At 46.4% G+C, this 17,185-nt stretch overlaps 1 protein-coding gene and 1 long non-coding RNA gene across 9 annotated transcripts, besides 1 other annotated feature; one reads left to right on the forward strand and one right to left on the reverse strand.

The window, feature by feature from the left end:
• The first annotated feature begins 1,080 nt into the window (after window positions 1-1,080).
• On the forward strand, window positions 1,081-16,758 carry RPL26L1 (ribosomal protein L26 like 1). 7 transcript variants are annotated; one of them, XM_011534565.3, is made up of 4 exons: window positions 1,081-1,323; window positions 6,852-7,028; window positions 15,446-15,586; window positions 16,400-16,758. In XM_011534565.3, the coding sequence occupies exons 2-4, from the start codon at window positions 6,861-6,863 to the stop codon at window positions 16,526-16,528; spliced, it is 438 nt and encodes a 145-aa protein (XP_011532867.1). In that variant the 5' UTR covers window positions 1,081-1,323; window positions 6,852-6,860; the 3' UTR covers window positions 16,529-16,758. The 7 variants fall into 7 exon arrangements, with proteins under 7 accessions (XP_011532867.1, NP_001304910.1, NP_001304909.1 ...); NM_001317981.2 differs by lacking the exon at window positions 1,081-1,323 and adding an exon at window positions 5,716-5,788; NM_001317980.2 differs by lacking the exon at window positions 1,081-1,323 and adding an exon at window positions 5,867-5,994.
• RPL26L1-AS1 (RPL26L1 antisense RNA 1) lies at window positions 1,769-6,355 on the reverse strand. 2 transcript variants are annotated; one of them, NR_026682.1, is made up of 4 exons: window positions 6,277-6,355; window positions 5,126-5,244; window positions 4,141-4,289; window positions 1,769-3,015 (listed from the first exon to the last, which is right to left on the reverse strand). It is a non-coding gene; the product is annotated as an RPL26L1 antisense RNA 1 (long non-coding RNA). The 2 variants fall into 2 exon arrangements; NR_026683.1 differs by lacking the exon at window positions 6,277-6,355 and adding an exon at window positions 5,359-5,762 and having other exon boundaries at window positions 1,769-2,063.
• Window positions 2,058-3,257: an enhancer, noted in NCBI's record as "BRD4-independent group 4 enhancer chr5:172382074-172383273 (GRCh37/hg19 assembly coordinates)". NCBI's record gives its function as "activates an origin of replication core promoter dependent on BRD2, P300/CBP, MED14 and CDK7 cofactors, and independent of BRD4, by STARR-seq in HCT116 cells {active_cell/tissue: HCT116}" and the evidence as "EXISTENCE:reporter gene assay evidence [ECO:0000049][PMID:35650434]".
• Window positions 16,759-17,185: the final 427 nt, after the last annotated feature.

Here is a 17,185-nt window from a genome sequence, read left to right on the forward strand (position 1 = left end):
GCAGGAGAATGGCATGAACCCAGAAGGCAGAGCTTGCAGTGAGCCGAGATCGTGCCACTGCACTCCAGCCTGGGCGACAGAGCGAGACTCCATCTCAAAAAAAAAAAAAAGTGAAACCCCCTTTGGCCAGGTGCAGTGGCTCACACCTGTATTCCCAACACTTTTGGGAGGCAGAGGCGGGTGGATCACCTGAGGTCAGGAGTTCAAAACCAGCCTGGCCAACATGGTGAAACCCCATCTCTACTAAAAATACAAAAAATAGCTGGGCGTGGTGGCAGGCACCTGTAATCCCAGCTACTCAGGAGGCTAAGGCAAGGAGAATCGCTTGAACCTGGAAGGCAGAGGTTTCAGTGAGCTGAGATCGCACCATTGCACTCCAGCCTGGGGGACAAAGCGAGACTCCGTCTCAAAAAAAAAAAAAAGAAAAGAAGAAAGAAAGTCAAGCCCCCTTAGATTAAGTCATTCCTTTATTGAGTCCCTACAGAATGTTCTTGGGTCTGTCACCTTCTAGCTGTGCAGCTTCAGTCCAGGTCCTTAACCTCTCAGTGCCTCAGATTTGTTGGGTGAAAATGAGGATAGTAATAAAACTACCACATAGGGCTGTTTCAGAAATAGAATCTATAACGTGCACAGAAATTATATTAGAATGAGATTGTCTATGTAGAAGAGTGTTTATTGCTGGTACACAGTAAGTTTTCACAAATGGTGATTGGACCATTATGAGCATTCCCAAATAGGATATAATCTTGAGAAAAGACTAACTTTAGAGCTTTGAGCTAAGGGCTCCATAAATGAAAGGTGATTCATAAATTCTTCTTGATTTCAAAGGACCTGGCACTCCTTTTTCAACCCTAAGCTCAGCAATGAGAGATCATCATCAGCTATGAGCAATGGACTTCCATGGATCTTTCCCATCTTGCTGCCAAGTCCTACAAGACTTTCATCAGAACAGCCCTAACACGGATAAACACACCAGGGATGAATGTGGGAGGGAATCAGTCTGTGAGAAATTCTTAACTCTCCCCATGCTCTCGCTCTTACATCCTGATACTTGAGTTATGTGTGTTCCCAAACGTGTTTATACCAGTTGTGCTTTTATACTGGTAGGATGTGATTTGGGGAACTATTAGTTAAACCAATGAGCTACAAGAAATGAACCTAGTAAAACTAAGTTGAATGCTTTAGAGAGACTTGATTAAGGTGAGTTGTTACCCCTCCCAACTCAAAATGCTGCTGAATGAGAAGTGAACAAGACAACTGTAAAAGATTTGGGAGGCCGGACGCGATGGTTCACGCCTATAATCCCAGCACCGGGAGGCTGAGGTGAGAGGATTGCTTGAGCCCAAGAGTTTGAGACCAGTCTGGGCAACATGATGAAACCCCGTCTCTATAGAAAAAATACAAAAATTAGTGGGCGTGGTGGCCTGTAGTCCCAGCCACCTGGGAGGCTGCGGTGGGGGCAGGGGCGGCGGGGGGGAAGTGGGGGGAGTGGTGGAGGCTGCAGTGAACCAAGATCTAGCCGCTGCACTCCAGCCTGGGTGACAGAGTGAAACTCTGTCTCAAAAAAGAGAGAAAGAGAGAGGGAGGGAGGGAGAGAGGAAGAGGGAAGGTGGGTGTGGAGAGGGAGAGAGACAGAGAACGGAACAACTGAAGATTTTTGGTTGGTTTATGTAAGGAAAATGGAGGGGAACACCGATACAGGTTTCTCTGTAAGGTAGAGCCTTAGCCCAGGGTCATTGTCGAATGTGTTTTACGTTGGCATACAACATTTAAGGGATGGATGCCATTTTTATTATTTCTCCTTTCAATGAACTTTTCCAATTGTCTAACCAGATGTGGATTACAGTGGTTTCATATAAGAGGATTTCTAAATCAGGATTACAGAGCAAAACCCTCCAGGGGTGCGTGACAGGTTGGGAGCTGTGGTGGGTCCAGGCAGAAATGGCTTCCCTGGGAAGTTGCGGAAGAGGCGTCTCTGGAGACGTGCTTCGTGAGGAGAGAAGCTGAAGTGTTGCAAACAACACTGGTTGGGGTGGGTGAAACCTGGGAAGAGGGGGTGAAACCTGGGAAGAAATGGGGTGTGGCACTAGAGTTCATAAATAGTAGCTGTGGTTAGTTTTTTTTTTTTTTTTTTTTTTTTGAGACGGAGTCATTGCCCAGGCTGGAGTGCAATGGCGCGATATCGGCTCACTGCAACATCTACCTCCCAGATTCAAGCAGTTCTCCTGTTTCAGCCTCCTGAGTAGCTGAGATTACAGGCGCCCACCACCATGCCCAGCTAATTTTTGTATTTTTAGGAGAAACAGGGTTTCACCATATTGGTCAGGCTGGTCTCGAACTCCTGACCTCAGGTGATCCACCTGCCTCAGCCTCCCAAAGTGCTGGGATTACAGGCGTGAGCCACTGCGCCCAGCCTGTGGTTAGTTTTTATTACTATATGTTACAAATAATTTTTAAATTCTTGCCGGAAACAATGTGGGAGGCCACTGGAGGTCTCAATCCCTTCTTAAGAAACTGGTCCTTTATTCCAGAAGGTTCATTAGCTGCTGCGGCAGTTAGATGCAGTGGTCCAGGAACGTGAGTGGGGATGTGTGTGGACAAGAATACTCACTGGAGACCCTTTTTTCTTGCCCTAGCAGTTGTTTCCTGTCAGTTATGGAGTGATGAGGTCACGCACTTCATTCTGGCCAGTCATTAATATGATTTGGCATTCTCTGCATGCCAGGCAAGAGTGACTGCTCTTCAGGCCAGATCTTCCTTCGAGATGGATGTTATCTCCTTTTTAGGAAGGAGGAAACAGAGAGACCTCGTAACTTGGCATGGCCACACAGTGAGTCACACAGTTAGTAAAGATGGAATTCATACCCAGGTCTGCCTGACTCTGGGATTACGAAGAATTACATGGTTCCACCTCAGTCCCAAGGTCATCTTTGCTGTGCCAAAAGGGAAAACTGGAAATAGGGGTGGTCAGAGCAGGAGGTGCTTTTTTTGGTTTTGTTTTTCCTTTAAAACAACCTGCAGAGAAAATCTAAATTAAACATTCGCAGGGACAGCGTTCTTACAATTTTTTAAATCTTCAAAATGTAATTTTAATTACACAAATAACACAGGCTCATAAGCCCACTGGAGGAAAATTATCAAATACTAAAAAAAGTAAAAGGGGAAAAACGAAAGTCACCCGTAATCCCACTAATCAGAGATGATCATTTAATGATAACATTTTAGTGATGCCTTTTGATAAGCAAAATGGGATCATACTGTTCATATTATTGTATAGCTTAGCCCTCACTTAACAGACATCTTCCTAGATTAATAAATACGGATCGCATTATTATCTTTATGGGCTGCAAGATAAATAATAACCATATTGAGCATCTAATGGTAGATTATGTCCATCCTTTGTTCCCATCTCACTCAGAGCCTCAGTTTTCTCACCTGTAAAAGGGACAATTCATACTGTTATTTAACGGACTGAAATGAGGTAATGCTTGTAAACCTGTTAGCACAATGCCTGACAGTAAATGCTCAGCCCATTAAGAAGAGCCATTATTATCCATCTAATAAATAAATAAATTCCAACATTTATTAAGTTCTTCCTCTGTGCCAGGTATTGTGCTAAGGGTTCATTTAATCCTGACACCAGGCCGGGTGTGGTGGCTCACATCTGTAATCCCAGCACTTTGGGAGGCTGAGGCAGGTGGATTGCTTGAGGTCATGAGTTCAAGACCAGCCTAACCAACATGGTGAAACCCTGTCTCTACTAAAAATACAAAAATTAGCCAGGCGTGGTGGCATACGCCTGTAGTCCCAGCTACTCAGGAGGCTGAGGCAGGAGAATCACTTGAACCCGGGAGGTGGAGGTTGCAGTGAGCCAAAACTGCACCACTGCACTCCAGCCTGGGCGACAGAGCGAGACTCTATCTCGAAAAAAAAAAAAAATCCTGACACCAAACCAATGAGGTAAGTACTATCATTATTCCCATTTTTCAGATGGGAATAAACTGAGTGACCAAGAGGCTGAATATCTTCTCCAAAGCCAAAGAACCAGGCAGTGGCAGAGATCCAAACCCAAGCGATTTGGGTGCCAGGGCTCAAGCACTTCCCCATGCAGCCACTGCCTCGAGAAATAAAAAGACTCACCAGACACTTCCTCTGTGCTAGGTGCTTTGAGTTCCTGCGCATGTTTCCAGGGGTGGGCATGAGACAAGACAGCCAGTCTCACTACATTGTTAGAATGACAGCCTCCAGCTCTTGTCATCCAGGATATCATTGTGCCTGTTTTAATTTTACTGAACCACACAGCATGTTAAAAACAAAACAAAACAAAGCAAAAAGCCTTCCCTGCTCTGCTTGATCATGGATACTCCTTGATGATCTTGGGTTCTCAAGATCTGTCTTTACATGGCTTTCCTTCACCAGTGAGGCTCTGAACTTCTTGGGAGCACTCCTCCCCAGATCTCTTTAATCAAGACCTGTACCTGGCTCCATGTAGGTACCAAATAAATTGATGAGCAAATGAATGAATGTATGAGTAAATAAGTGGGTGAATGACAATAAATGGATATGTGATAGAGAAATGAGTGAATAAACAGAACCAGTGAGTGAGTGAGTGAATGAATGAGTGAATGAATGAATGAACTCCTTGGGGCAGGGCATGGGTTTGACTAACACCTAAGGACTATTCTAAGAAGAACCTCTGACCTTTACTGTGTGTGCGCCGTTATGCCAGCGTCTGCTCCTGGGTTGCCGATAGGTAATGACTTCCTTTCTTAGGACTGCCCCCCAACCTCCTTATTCTTGGAGCCTGGGCACACGCACAGCTGGGTGGCCCTTCAGCTGATACTGCCTTAACTGCTTTAACTCTGCCTGCTGTGCTGTCCAGGCTTCTGCAAATAGCCCAGGTGTGGCCATCCTCCAGAGGCCTCCAACATTAACTGTGAAGGGCCCGGAATAAAACCTAGTATTAGTAGGCCAGGCGCAGTGGCTCACGCCTGTAATCCCAGTACTTTGGGAGGCCGAGGCGGGAGAATCACCTGAGGTCGGGAGTTCAAGACCAGCCTGACCAACATGGAGAAACCCCGTCTCTACTAAAAATACAAAATTAGCCGGGCGTGGTGGCGCATACCTGTAATCCCAGATACTGGGGAGGCTGAGGCAGGAGAATCGCTTGAACTTGGGAGGCGGAGGTTGCGGTGAGCCGAGATGGTGCCACTGCACTGCAGCCCAGGGAACAAGAGCGAAACTCTATCTCAAAAAAAAAAAAAAAAAAAATCTAGTATTAGTAAACGCAGGTGTTTAACAATGTCACCACTACATGTCAGGGAACACTGATAAACTAAGAGAGAGCACGGGACCTGCCTGGGTGTGGCTGCTGTACTTGCAAGACATCTTCCCTCTCTGAGTTTCAGCATGCCGGCATTTGGCACTAAGTTGTCGTTCAACATATATGGAATGAATGAACGAAAGGGAGAGTTGGAGTTAATAACACCTTGCATAGAATAAACCCCGTCGGTTCTTAACCCGAAGAGAGTCGAGACCCAGAGCCCTTTTCCTTCCCTGCCGCCACGGTGCCCACGGAGGGGGCGTGGTTGATCTCCCTCACAGCTCCGTCGGGACCAGAGACCCGGGGACCTTTTACACCCAGGGTCCGCGCAAAGTGTCGGCCTAGCCAGTGGTTGGGTGGCGCCCGGGCCTCCAGGCAGTCTTCCAGGGGTCGGCGAACGAAACGCGGAGCTCGGGAGCGACCCGGCGGGGCCAGGCACGGGCAGAAGGGCCAAGAGGGCCACAGGTGGGCGCGGAGCGGCCGGAGTGGGCGGGGACTGGATGAGAGGGGCGGGGTCTAGGAGAGAGGGGCGGGGCGGCGGCCACAAACCCGCAGGCACGCCGCCGGCCGCCGTTTAGTCCCAGAGATAGAAAAAAGTAGAGGTAGGAGGGCGCGGCGGCTCACGCCTGTAATCCCAGCACTTTGGAAGGCCGAGGCGGGCGGATCACGAGGTCAGGAAATCGAGACCATCCTGGCTAACAGGGTGAAACCCCGTCTCTACTAAAAATACAAAAAATTAGCCGGGCGTGGTGGGGGGCGCCTGTAGTCCCAGCTACTCGGGAGGCTGAGGCAGGAGAATGGCGTGAACCCGGGAGGCGGAGCTTGCAGTGAGCCGAGCTCGCGCCACTGCACTCCAGTCTGGGCGACAGAGCGAGACTCCGTCTCAAAAAAAAAAAAAAGAACACCAGTAAGCCTCTACCGCAGGCCCTACACAAGCAGGCCCTTGTACTCACTGGCATCGCCCTCCCGGGGCCGCCAGGAATGAGGCACTGAGATCCCACCCCAAGCCGCTGGGGGCGCCATTCGACTTCGCTCCTACGGAAATGGGGCTTCGATGTCTTTCTGCGCTTGCGCGGCACGGAAACTCACTTCCGGCCCTGCGCACTCAGGGTCTGAGGCAGCTAGTAGCCGGGTGAGTGGAGGCTGGAGTTTTCTCGGACAGTGAACTCTACCGCCCCGTGAGACCCTGCCCTATGTGTCGCGGGAACACATGTCACCCCACAGCTCTCTTTGAGTGACCTCCCGACCACCCATTCCTGCCTAACCCTAGCATTCCTTCCTCAGCCTCAAGGTCCCAGTGCTACCCTCTCCCCCACGACCCCTTTAGACGGGCATGCGACCTCCACACACGCCTCACTTTATGTGATAGTCAGACTAGTCGCATCTCTCTGTCCTCCCTCAGTTGCCTTTTCAGAGGCTACCTCCCCTGTAGAGCCTTTGTTGGGGGATGAGGAGTGTCTTGGGTCGAGAACAGGCCCCTGTAACCCACTGAGCGCCCCTTCATTCCGTCTCTCTCCGCCCTTTGTAGAGGGTCACCATGAAGTTCAATCCCTTCGTTACCTCGGACCGCAGTAAAAACCGCAAACGTCACTTCAATGCCCCCTCACACGTGCGCAGGAAGATCATGTCATCCCCGCTCTCCAAGGAGCTGCGGCAGAAGTACAATGTCCGCTCCATGCCCATCCGCAAGGACGACGAGGTCCAGGTACGTCTCCCTCCGGCGCTAGTGGCGCTCGGACACCGTTGCCTAAGAACGTCATGCGTGGAGCAGTCACAGACTCACATGCCTCAGGACTCTGGAAAGTAGTGTGACCCTTCAGATGTGTTAGGCCAGAGATAGGGTTCAGAGCCACCAGAGAGTGCCTGCGTTGCTTTAGAGCATTTAATTATTTAATAGTAATAGTAAAATTTAATAAAACAGTATGTCAACCAAGCAAAAACCTGCTTTTTTGTTTGTTTTGTAGAGATAGGGTCTTGCTATGTTGCCCAGGCTGGTCTCTGAACTCCTGGCCTCAAGTGATCCTCCCACCTCAGCCTCCCAAAGCACTGGGATTACAAGTGTGAGCCACCGTGCCCCACCAAAAATACTTTTGATTTAACCTTCTGGCTGCTAGTTTGCCAAGTGTTGTTGCCCAGGGTGGCTTGTTGAACCAGACTGTAGGGGAAGGTGCTGCAGTGAGAGTAGTGTTTTAGTGTATTTGGGTGTAGTGGGATTGATGGACAGAGATTTGTGGGAGCTGGCCATGTGATAGCATTGGATTTGGCAGGAGAACTGGTAAAGATGCAGCGAGTCACTCTTTCATAATTTCTAAAAGACTGGCCCATGTGAGAACGTACAAGCCCTCTGTTCTCTGTGATTGGAGCTTAGAATGCATGAGAGGAGGGAAGGGAGTTGGATATGAGTGAAATAAGCAGGGGCTAGATTCATTCCTCAAAGGAATATTTATGGAGCACTTACCAGAGATTGTTCTAGGACAAGATTGACGAGGCCCTTGTTCTCATGGAGATCACGTTTTAGAGCAGGGTTTCCTAGCCTCAGCTCTATTGATATGTTGGACTGGATAATTGTTGTGGGGGGTGGGGGGTGGGGGCTGTCCTGTGCATTGTAGAATGTTTAGCAGCGTCCCTGGCCTCTCCCCACTAGATGCCAGTGGCACTCCCTCCCTTCACAGTTGTGACAAGCAAAAATATTTCCAGATATTGCCAAATGCTCCCTGGGGGGCAAAATCAACTCTTCCCTCACTCAGTTAAGAGCTATTGTCTTAGAGAATGAAATGACATAAGGTGATGAGGCTTGGTGTATCATCTGAGACACTGGGACTCTTTGAAGGTTTGGGGATATGTTAAGGAGGAAAAAATGTGGAGTTAAGCCGGAAGTGTGACAGGAAGAGTGGAAAGAGTAGTTCAGAGGTATGATCAGCAGTTTCAACCCCCTCTCTCCTGGATCCTTCCCATCAGACATGTTCTAGAATGGGGGAATTGCAAATACTTATAGGGGATAGGTAGGGATAGAAAATGGCAAACTGGAAAGCTCAAGCCTCACATATAAGATATAATCATCTACCTTTAGCCCATTGATGCCTGGGGGAAATGCAGGCCCATTGTTAGATTCTTGGATTTTCAAAGAGAGCTGGAAAATTTGGATTCACTTCCCTAGCCCACATTTCCTTCCAGCTACTACACTTTGTTCTCTATTCATAACCAACCTCCTCAAGAGAGCTGTCTACACTTCCTCATCTCCCATTCACTCTTGGATTCTCTTCAGTCTATTCCCTGTCCCCACTACATTATAGAACCTACTTTGACGTAGATCACTAATAATCCCTTCGTGACTGAATCCAGTGGACACATCTAGCATCTCTTTCTGCTCTGTGTTCTCTACGTAGGTAAAGAATAGGTAATAATCCGTTCTTAGAGCTTTAAATGTCTGCTGTGTGCTAACAACTCCCTCTTTTATATCCCAGTCCAGACCACTTTAGACAACCTGTATATCTGACTACCTATAACACAGACCTATAGATCTGACTACCTACTGAACATCTCTATTTAGGTAGCCCATTGACATTTCAAGCTTCTTAAGAGTACTCTTGATCCTAACACTCTCACTGCCTCCAGAATCCAACTCTACTCCCATCTTCCACATCTCCAGTAAGTGCCATTTATATCTCCCCAGCTGCATATGCCCCTAAACCTTTGTTATCTTTAACAACGCTCCTTAACCCCCTCTTGTAATCTACCATCAAGGCTTGTTGATTCTACCTCCAAAGTAAGTCTTGAACCTATTTCCTGTCCAGTTCAAGGCAGCATTGCAGTTCCCTCTTTTACCTTTGTCCATTTTCCACAGAGTGGTATTATTTGCAAATCAGGTCCTATTTAAAACCTTTGGCAGGCTGGGCATGATGGCTCACGCCTGTAATCCTAGCAGTTTGGGAGGCCCAGGCGGGTGGATCCCCTGAGCTCAGGAGTTTGAGACCAGCCTGGGAAACATGGTGAAACTCCATCTCTACTAAAAATACAAAAAATTAGCCAGGCGTGGTGGTGCACACCTGTAATCCCAGCTACTCGGGAGGCTGAAGCATGACAATCGCTTGAACCCGGGAGGCGGAGGTTGCAATGAACCGAGATTGTGCCATTGCACTCCAGCCTGGGTGACAGAGTGAGACTCTGTCTCAAAAACAACAACAACAACAACAAAAAACGGCCAGGCACAGTGGCTCACGCCTGTAATCCCAGCACTTTGGGAGGCTGTGGCAGGCAGATCATGAGGTCAGGAGATTGAGACCATCCTGGCTAACACGGTGAAACCCATCTCTACTAAAAATATAAAAAATTAGCTGAGCGTGGTGGTGGGCGCCTGTAGTCCCAACTACTTGGGAGGCTGAGGCAGGAGAATGGCGTGAACCCGGGAGGGGGAGCTTCCAATGAGCCAAGATCATGCCACTGCACTCCAGCCTGGGTGACAGAGTGAGGCTCTGTCTCAAAAAAAAAAAAAAAAAAAAAAAATCCTTTGGCAGTTTTATATCTGCCAAAACTGACCTGTACATTTTACTGTATGTAAATGATGCCTCAGTTAAAAATAAAATGATTTCAAATTGTGTTCATTGCTATGAAGAAAATATAAAGGATGCTATGATATTGATTAAAGGACCTGGGAAGGCTTCTCTGAGGAACTAATACATTTAAGAGAAGACCTGAGAAATGAGGAGTTAGCCAGGTGCTTACCAATGGTGCCTGATGTGCTTATAAAATCTAAAATCATGGCCAGGCGCGGTGGCTCACGCCTGTAATCCCGACACTTTGGGAGGCTGAGGTGGGTGGATCACCTGAGGTCAGGAGTTCGAGACCAGCCTGGCCAACATGGTGAAACCCCACCTCTACTAGAAATACAAAAATTAGGTGTGGTGGCACACACCTGTAATCCCAAGTACTCGGGAGGCTGAGGCAGGGGAATCGCTTTAACCTAGGAGGTAGAGGTTGCAGTGAGCCAAGATTGCGCCACTGCACTCCAGCCTGGGCAACAGAGTAAAACTCGGTCTCAAAAAAAAAAAAAAAAATCTAAAATCATTGACTGCAAGGCCCTCTATGGGCCAATCCTGGTCTACTTCTCCATCCTCATCTCCTCCTAACCCCCATGTGCTCTACACTTTAACCACACTGGGCTTCTGGGGTCTTTAAATACACCTTGATCTTTTCTCCCGCTGGAATGTTCTCTCTGCCTGGAGTGCTCTTCCTTCTCTCCTTTACATAGGTAACTCCTCATTCTTCGGGTCCTACCTTAAATGTCCGTTCCTCAGAGAAGCCTTCCCAGATCCTTTAACCAATATTATAGCCTAGCATTCTTTATTTTTTCTTCGTAGCAGTAAGCACAATTTGAAATCATTTTATTTTTAACTGAGGCATAATTTACACACAGTAAAATGCACAGGTCAGTTTTGGCAAATGTAAAACCAAATAGCCATTACCCTAATTATGATTAGACCATTAAAAAGACCATTTTTAATCATCCCAGTAAGTTCCTATGTGACTTATTCCAGTTAGTGGTCATGTATTTGTCTATGTACTCATTAACTGCTTACTGGCCATCAGGCTAAGCTCCATGAAACCAGAGAGTTCATCTTGTTTGTTGTCTGACCTCAGTGCAGAGCCTGACACTTAGAGAGGAGAAGGGTCAGTCAATATTTGTTGAATGAATGAAAAAAATTTTTTGAGTAGGTAAGATGTAGAAGGTGAGACAGAGAAGGAGGGCAAAGAGGGAGAAGGAGCTGCTGTTAAATATATATATATTTTAAATTAGAGACATTTATTTATTTATTTATTTATTTAAAAATAGGTATTGCTTTGCTGCCCAGGCTGGTCTCAAACTCCTGGCTTCAAGCAATCCTTCTGCCTTGGCCTCCCAAAGTGCTGGGATTACAGGCATGAGCCACAGTGTCTGGCCTGTTGCCTTTTTTTTTTTTTTTTTTTTTGAGACAGAGTTTCACTCTTGTTGCCCAGGCTGGAGTGCAGTGGCACAATCTCGGCTCACTGCAACCTCTGCCTCCCGGGTTCAAGCCATTCTCCTCCCTCAGCCTCCCAAGTAGCTGAGATTACAGGCACACACCACCATGCCTGGCTAATTTTCATATTTTTAATAGAGACGGGGTTTTACCATGTTGGTCAGTCTGGTCTCGAACTCCTGACCTCAGGTGATCCACCCGCCTCAGCCTCCCCAAGTGCTGGGATTACAGGCGTGAGCCACCACGCCCGGCTGCCTGTTGCCATTTTTTGAATGCCTAAGAGGTATGAATTGTTTCAGCCAAAGGCCATGCTGGCTGAACACTTCTCCACCAGGAGAATAAAATAGCCCTGATTGGGTTTGTTAATATTGCCTCCTCTCACGGGATCTTCTGAATCTCACTTACCTTCCTCTTTCTCTGAGTAGGTGATGGTTCCTCCTACTTTACAGAGAAAATTGAAGTTATCAGCCAGGAACTTTCAGAAATCGTGGCTCCACACCTACACGTTTACCTGTAGTTCCACCCCTCTTATTTTCTTTCCCTTCTGTTACAATGAAAGAAATATCCCAGGCCTGGTGCAGTGGCTCACGCCTGTAATCTCAACACTCTGAGAGGCCAAGACAGGTGGATCGCTTGAGGCCAGGAGTTCGAGACCAGCCTGGCCAACATGGCGAAATTCCGTCTGCACTAAAAATATAAAGATTAGCTGGGCGTGATGGCACATGCCTGTAATCCCAGCTACAAGGGAGGCTGAGGCAATGAGATATCACTTGAACCCAGAAGGCGGAGGTTGTGGTGAGCCAAGATCACGCCACTGCACTCCAGCATGGGTAACACAGCAAGTCTCTGTCTCAAAAAAAAAAGAAAGAAATATCCCTGTTTCTGCCTAAGCCTAATCCATCTGCCACTGGGTGCTGCTCCATTCTTCTCTTGGAGCTTTTTTGGTCCCTTATCTTCTTTCTCTGTAGTTTCTTTTACCGTCTTCCTCCATACTTGTTCCTTCCATCAGCATTTAAACACAATCATGTTTTCCCTTCTTTAAAAATAAAAAATAAAGGAAAGTTCCCTTAGCTTTCCATCCCCCTCAAACATCTATCCCCTTCTCATCTTCAGAGCCAAGCTCCTTTGGACTGTCTTTTCTCACCTTCACCTTCTCACCTGGTACACTCATCACTTTACTGTTAATGGCCTCCATCCCAGCACTCAGTGAAGGCATTCCAGCCACAGCCACTGTTGATGACCTTGTTGTCAGATCTGTTAAATACCTTATCCTCTGTGTTCTTGACAGTCCCACAGAATTTGACATTCTCTTGGCTGCTGTAACACCACACTTGCATGATTTCCCATTCGCTCTGGCCACATTAATCTCTCACAAGCTCTTCCAAAATGCTGGCTTTTCTCACATGTGTACATTCTGCCCTTTTCTCATACCATCACTCCTTGAGCAACATGAAGCTCCTAATTGCCTCTCTGTGGATGACTCCCACGTCTCTATTGCTGGCCCAGTTGGCATTCCAGCTGTGTCTGAATTCTCTGTTAGAATGTCCCCAGATGCTTCAAATTTAGCATGTTCCAAACTAAACTATTTCCTCCTAAAATACGGGGCTTCCCCTATGATCTCTGCATCTGGCAATGGCATTGCCATCCACCTGGTTGCCCAAGCCAGACTCTGAGTATCATCCTTCCCTCTTCATCCTCACCTCTCCAGTCTAGTCGACCAGCCGACTTAGTCTTATCCTGTCTCCTGTCTTCCTCTTCACTATGTCCAGAGGTTGTCCACTTCTCTTTTTAAAAATTTTTTAAATTAATTTTTTATTTTATTTTATTTTGAGACAGGATCTCACTCTGTCACCCAGGCTGGAGTACAGTGGTGCAAAAACAGGTTGCTGCAGACTCAACCTCCTGGGTTCAAGTGATCCTCCCACCTCAGCCTCCCGAGTAGCTGGGATCATAGGCGCATGCCACCATGTCTGGCTAACTATTTTTTTTTTTTTTTTTTTTTTTTTTTTTGTAGAGACGGGGTCTTGCTATGTTGCCTCGGCTGGTCTCCAACTCCTGGACTCAAGCAGTCCACCTGCCTGAGCTTCCTAAAGTACCAGGATTACAGCTGTGAGCCACCATGCCCGGCCTAAGATCTTTCTTCAGTCTTGGCCAGGTGCAGTGGCTCACACATGTAATCCCAGCACTTTGGAAGGCCAAGGTGGGTGGATCTCTTGAGCTCAGGTGTTTGAGACCAGCCTGGGCAGCATAGTGAAACCCTGTCTCTTAAAAAAAGTGTGTATGTGTGTATTTCTTCAGTCTTGATGGTATTAACAAGACTTCTTCCAGGTGTGTCCTGAGAGTCTCTGGTCATGTAGTCTGTGGTAGATTTTTCACTGAGATATGATTGTCCTCTTCAACCTAAAAATCGCCTTGGAAAATAAGCCAAACAAGCTATACGTAGACATTTTAGGAGTATTGGGGTTCTCTAGTTCTTTATATGTGGTATCTCCTCTATGCTTATTAATCAGAGTCACATCGTACCTGGTGGTTTTTTTTTTTTGAGGCGGTGTCTCGCTCTGTCGCCAGCCTGGAGTGCAGTGGCACCATCTCAGCTCACTGCAACCTCCGCCTTCCAGGTTCAAGTGATTCTCCTGCCTCAGCCCCCCGAGTAGCTGGGTCTACAGGCGCCCACCACCACGCCCAGCTAATTTTTGTATTTTTAGTAGAGACAGGGTTTCACCATGTTGGCCTGGATGGTCTCGATCTCTTGACCTCATGATCCACCGGCTTTGGCCTCCCAAAGTGCTGGGATTACAGGTGTGAACCACCGTGCCCGGCCCCCATGCATGGTGTTTAATAAGCTCTTGTGGCTGGGCATGGTGGCTCACACCTGTAATCCCAGCACTTTGGGAGGCCGAGGCAGGCAGATCACTTGAGGTCAGGAGTTCGAGACCAGCCTGGCCAATATGGCGAAACCTGGTCTCTACTAAAAATACAAAAATTAGCCAGGCCTGCTGGTGCGTGCCTATAATCCCAGCTACTTGGGAGGCTGAGGCAGGAGAATCACTTGAACCTGGGAGGTGGAGGTTGCAGTGAGCCAAGATCATGCCAGTGCCCTCCAGCCTGGGGGAACAGAGCGAGACTCCGTGTCAAAAATAAATAAATAAATAAATAAGCTCTTGCTTTCAAGGAAACCCTAATCTAGTTGGTTTTTGAATAGAGTAGATTTTTAGTACAGTAAAACAGTCTGTGAGATTTAAAATTTTTTTTCTGACTTTAAAATATTTGTATTAAATGTAGAAATGTTGAAATTTAGAAGAATATAAATCTAAAAATCAGTCATCTGTAATCCTGCTTCCTGCCTAATGGCAGCTGTTACCAATATTTATATATATATTTTATCCCACTGTGTCATGCTATATATATGAAATGTGTGTGTATATATACATATATACACATATATACGTATGTATACACATATATGTATATATGACATATAAGTACATATATGTATGTATGACATATATGTATGTTACATATAAGTACATATGTGTATGTATATGATACGTGTATGTATATATGACATATAAATACATATACGCACATATGTAATATATATTATATATATACACACACACATACACTCATATAGTTTGAGTATCTCAAATTCAGAATGCTCCAAAATCTGAGACTTTGTCAACGTGATGGTCAAAGGAAGTGTTCTTTGGAGCTTTTGGGATTTCAGATTTTCAGATTTGGGGTGCTTAGCTAGTAATGCAGATATTCCAAAATCCCAAAAACCCTAAATCCAAAACACTTCTGGTCTCAAGCATTTCGAATAAGGGATACTTGACATATATATGTATATATATATAGTTCAGAGTATATTCTATATGTAGTTTTGTATTCTCCTTTTTCCTCTAAAGCTCATATCGCACATTTCTGTGGGATCCAGGTAAAAAATCTCCACCCAACCATAGCACAACACAGATTTATATCAGAAAAGTAGCTAATTTTTGACTGCCAGGATTAAGCTGCTTTTGACAAAGTTATATGTTTAGCCCATGTGTTCCTGATGGTTAGCTTCCTCTTTATGATCATGCACTACAAATGGAGGGGGATTCTCTTTTGTATTTTCTCTTAGGTAGTTCGAGGACACTACAAAGGTCAGCAAATTGGCAAGGTAGTCCAGGTGTACAGAAAGAAATATGTCATCTACATCGAGCGGGTGCAGCGTGAGAAGGCCAACGGCACAACTGTCCACGTGGGCATTCACCCAAGCAAGGTATGGTCAAGGACTGAGTGGCAGTAGCAGCCATGGAGTGTGTCAATACTGTTCAAAGTTATTGGTGTTTTGGTACTCCCTGCACAGTTGGCTGAGGCAGGCCAGGTGGACTTGATTGATTCAGTAGCTTTGTGATATCATCAAGGATCCAGATTTTTCTTCTCTTCTCTTTTCTGTTTTGCCTTTCTTGGTGATGGCTGTGTCTTTTTTTTTTTTTTTTTTTTTTTGAGACGGATGCTCGCTCTGTCACCAGGCTGGAGTGCTGTGGTGCGATCTCGGCTCACTGCAACCTCCACCTCCTGGGTTCAAGCAATTCTCCTGCCTCAGCCTCCCAAGTAGCTGGGACTACAGGCACACACCACCACGCCCAGCTAATTTTTATATTTTTAATAGAGATGGGGTTTCACCATGTTGGCCAGGATGGTCTCGATCTCCTGACCTCGTGATCCGCCCGCCTCGGCTTTCCAAAGTGTTGGGATTACAGGTGTGAGCCATCATGGCCGGCCGATGGCTGTGTCTTTAAGCTGGTTGCAAGAGGCTTCCAAGTGTTCTAGGCATCACTTCCCCTACCACATAATATTCAGAGGAATAAGAGAGAATATATCTTCCTGTAGCCCTCATGCCTACCTAGTGGAACATGCTATTTTTCCTTTGTGTTCCTATTTTGTATTGTGTTACAGGGTCTGTTTTCCTTCCAGAGTTTCAGTTCCTTAAAAGCTGAATGGCTGAGGTCTTACTTAACTTATGATGTCTATATTGCTCAATAGCTGGTGGGGATGCAGAAATAAAGACCTGTTTTCTCACTCCCAACAGGTGGTTATCACCAGGCTAAAACTGGACAAGGATCGGAAAAAAATTCTTGAACGCAAAGCCAAGTCTCGACAAGTTGGAAAAGAGAAAGGCAAATATAAAGAAGAACTTATTGAGAAAATGCAGGAATAAATAGAACCTGTTGTGCAACCACGGTTTAACCGGAGATTTTGAGGCTAGGGTGTGTTTCTTTCGAACTTTTCGGAATGTCTGGAACATTTCATTTCCTGTTTTGTTACCTGTGCCTCTGTAAATCTACTTTTGCAATTTTAAGTAATAATTTTATGAATAAAAATGGGAAATGCTTCCTAATTCCACATAGTATTTGCATTGTTTTATAAATAAATTCCACTTACTATCAATTCCCCTTTGCCAGTCTTTTCCTATTTAATGTGTGGAACAGCAAAATCGCAGGGGTAGGGTTAAATGGCCCTCCTCTTGCCTGGACTCTTGTGCTGATGAAGTAGAAAGGGCAGGGCTCTAGTCTTATATAGACAGGCCTCATCATCTTGCCCAGGCTGGTCCTGAACTCCTAGGCTCAAATGATCCTCCTGCCTTGGCCTCTCAAAGTGTTGGGATTACAGGCGTGAGCTGCCATGCTCTGGTCCTTGACACAGGGATTTGCCCCACTCAGTAGCAGTTGTAATGTGCACTGTCACATCTCACGCCTGACAGATTGCTCTCTGGCCTCCTGACTTGGGCTTCCCCAGCTTTCTCTCCAAGTGCCAACTAAACCAAATCATGTGCAGCTCCCTGACCAGGCTTATCTTCCCAAAGTTTTGACTTTGC

Source organism: Homo sapiens, chromosome 5 (assembly GCF_000001405.40).
Source record: "Homo sapiens chromosome 5, GRCh38.p14 Primary Assembly".
NCBI lineage: Eukaryota > Metazoa > Chordata > Mammalia > Primates > Hominidae > Homo > Homo sapiens.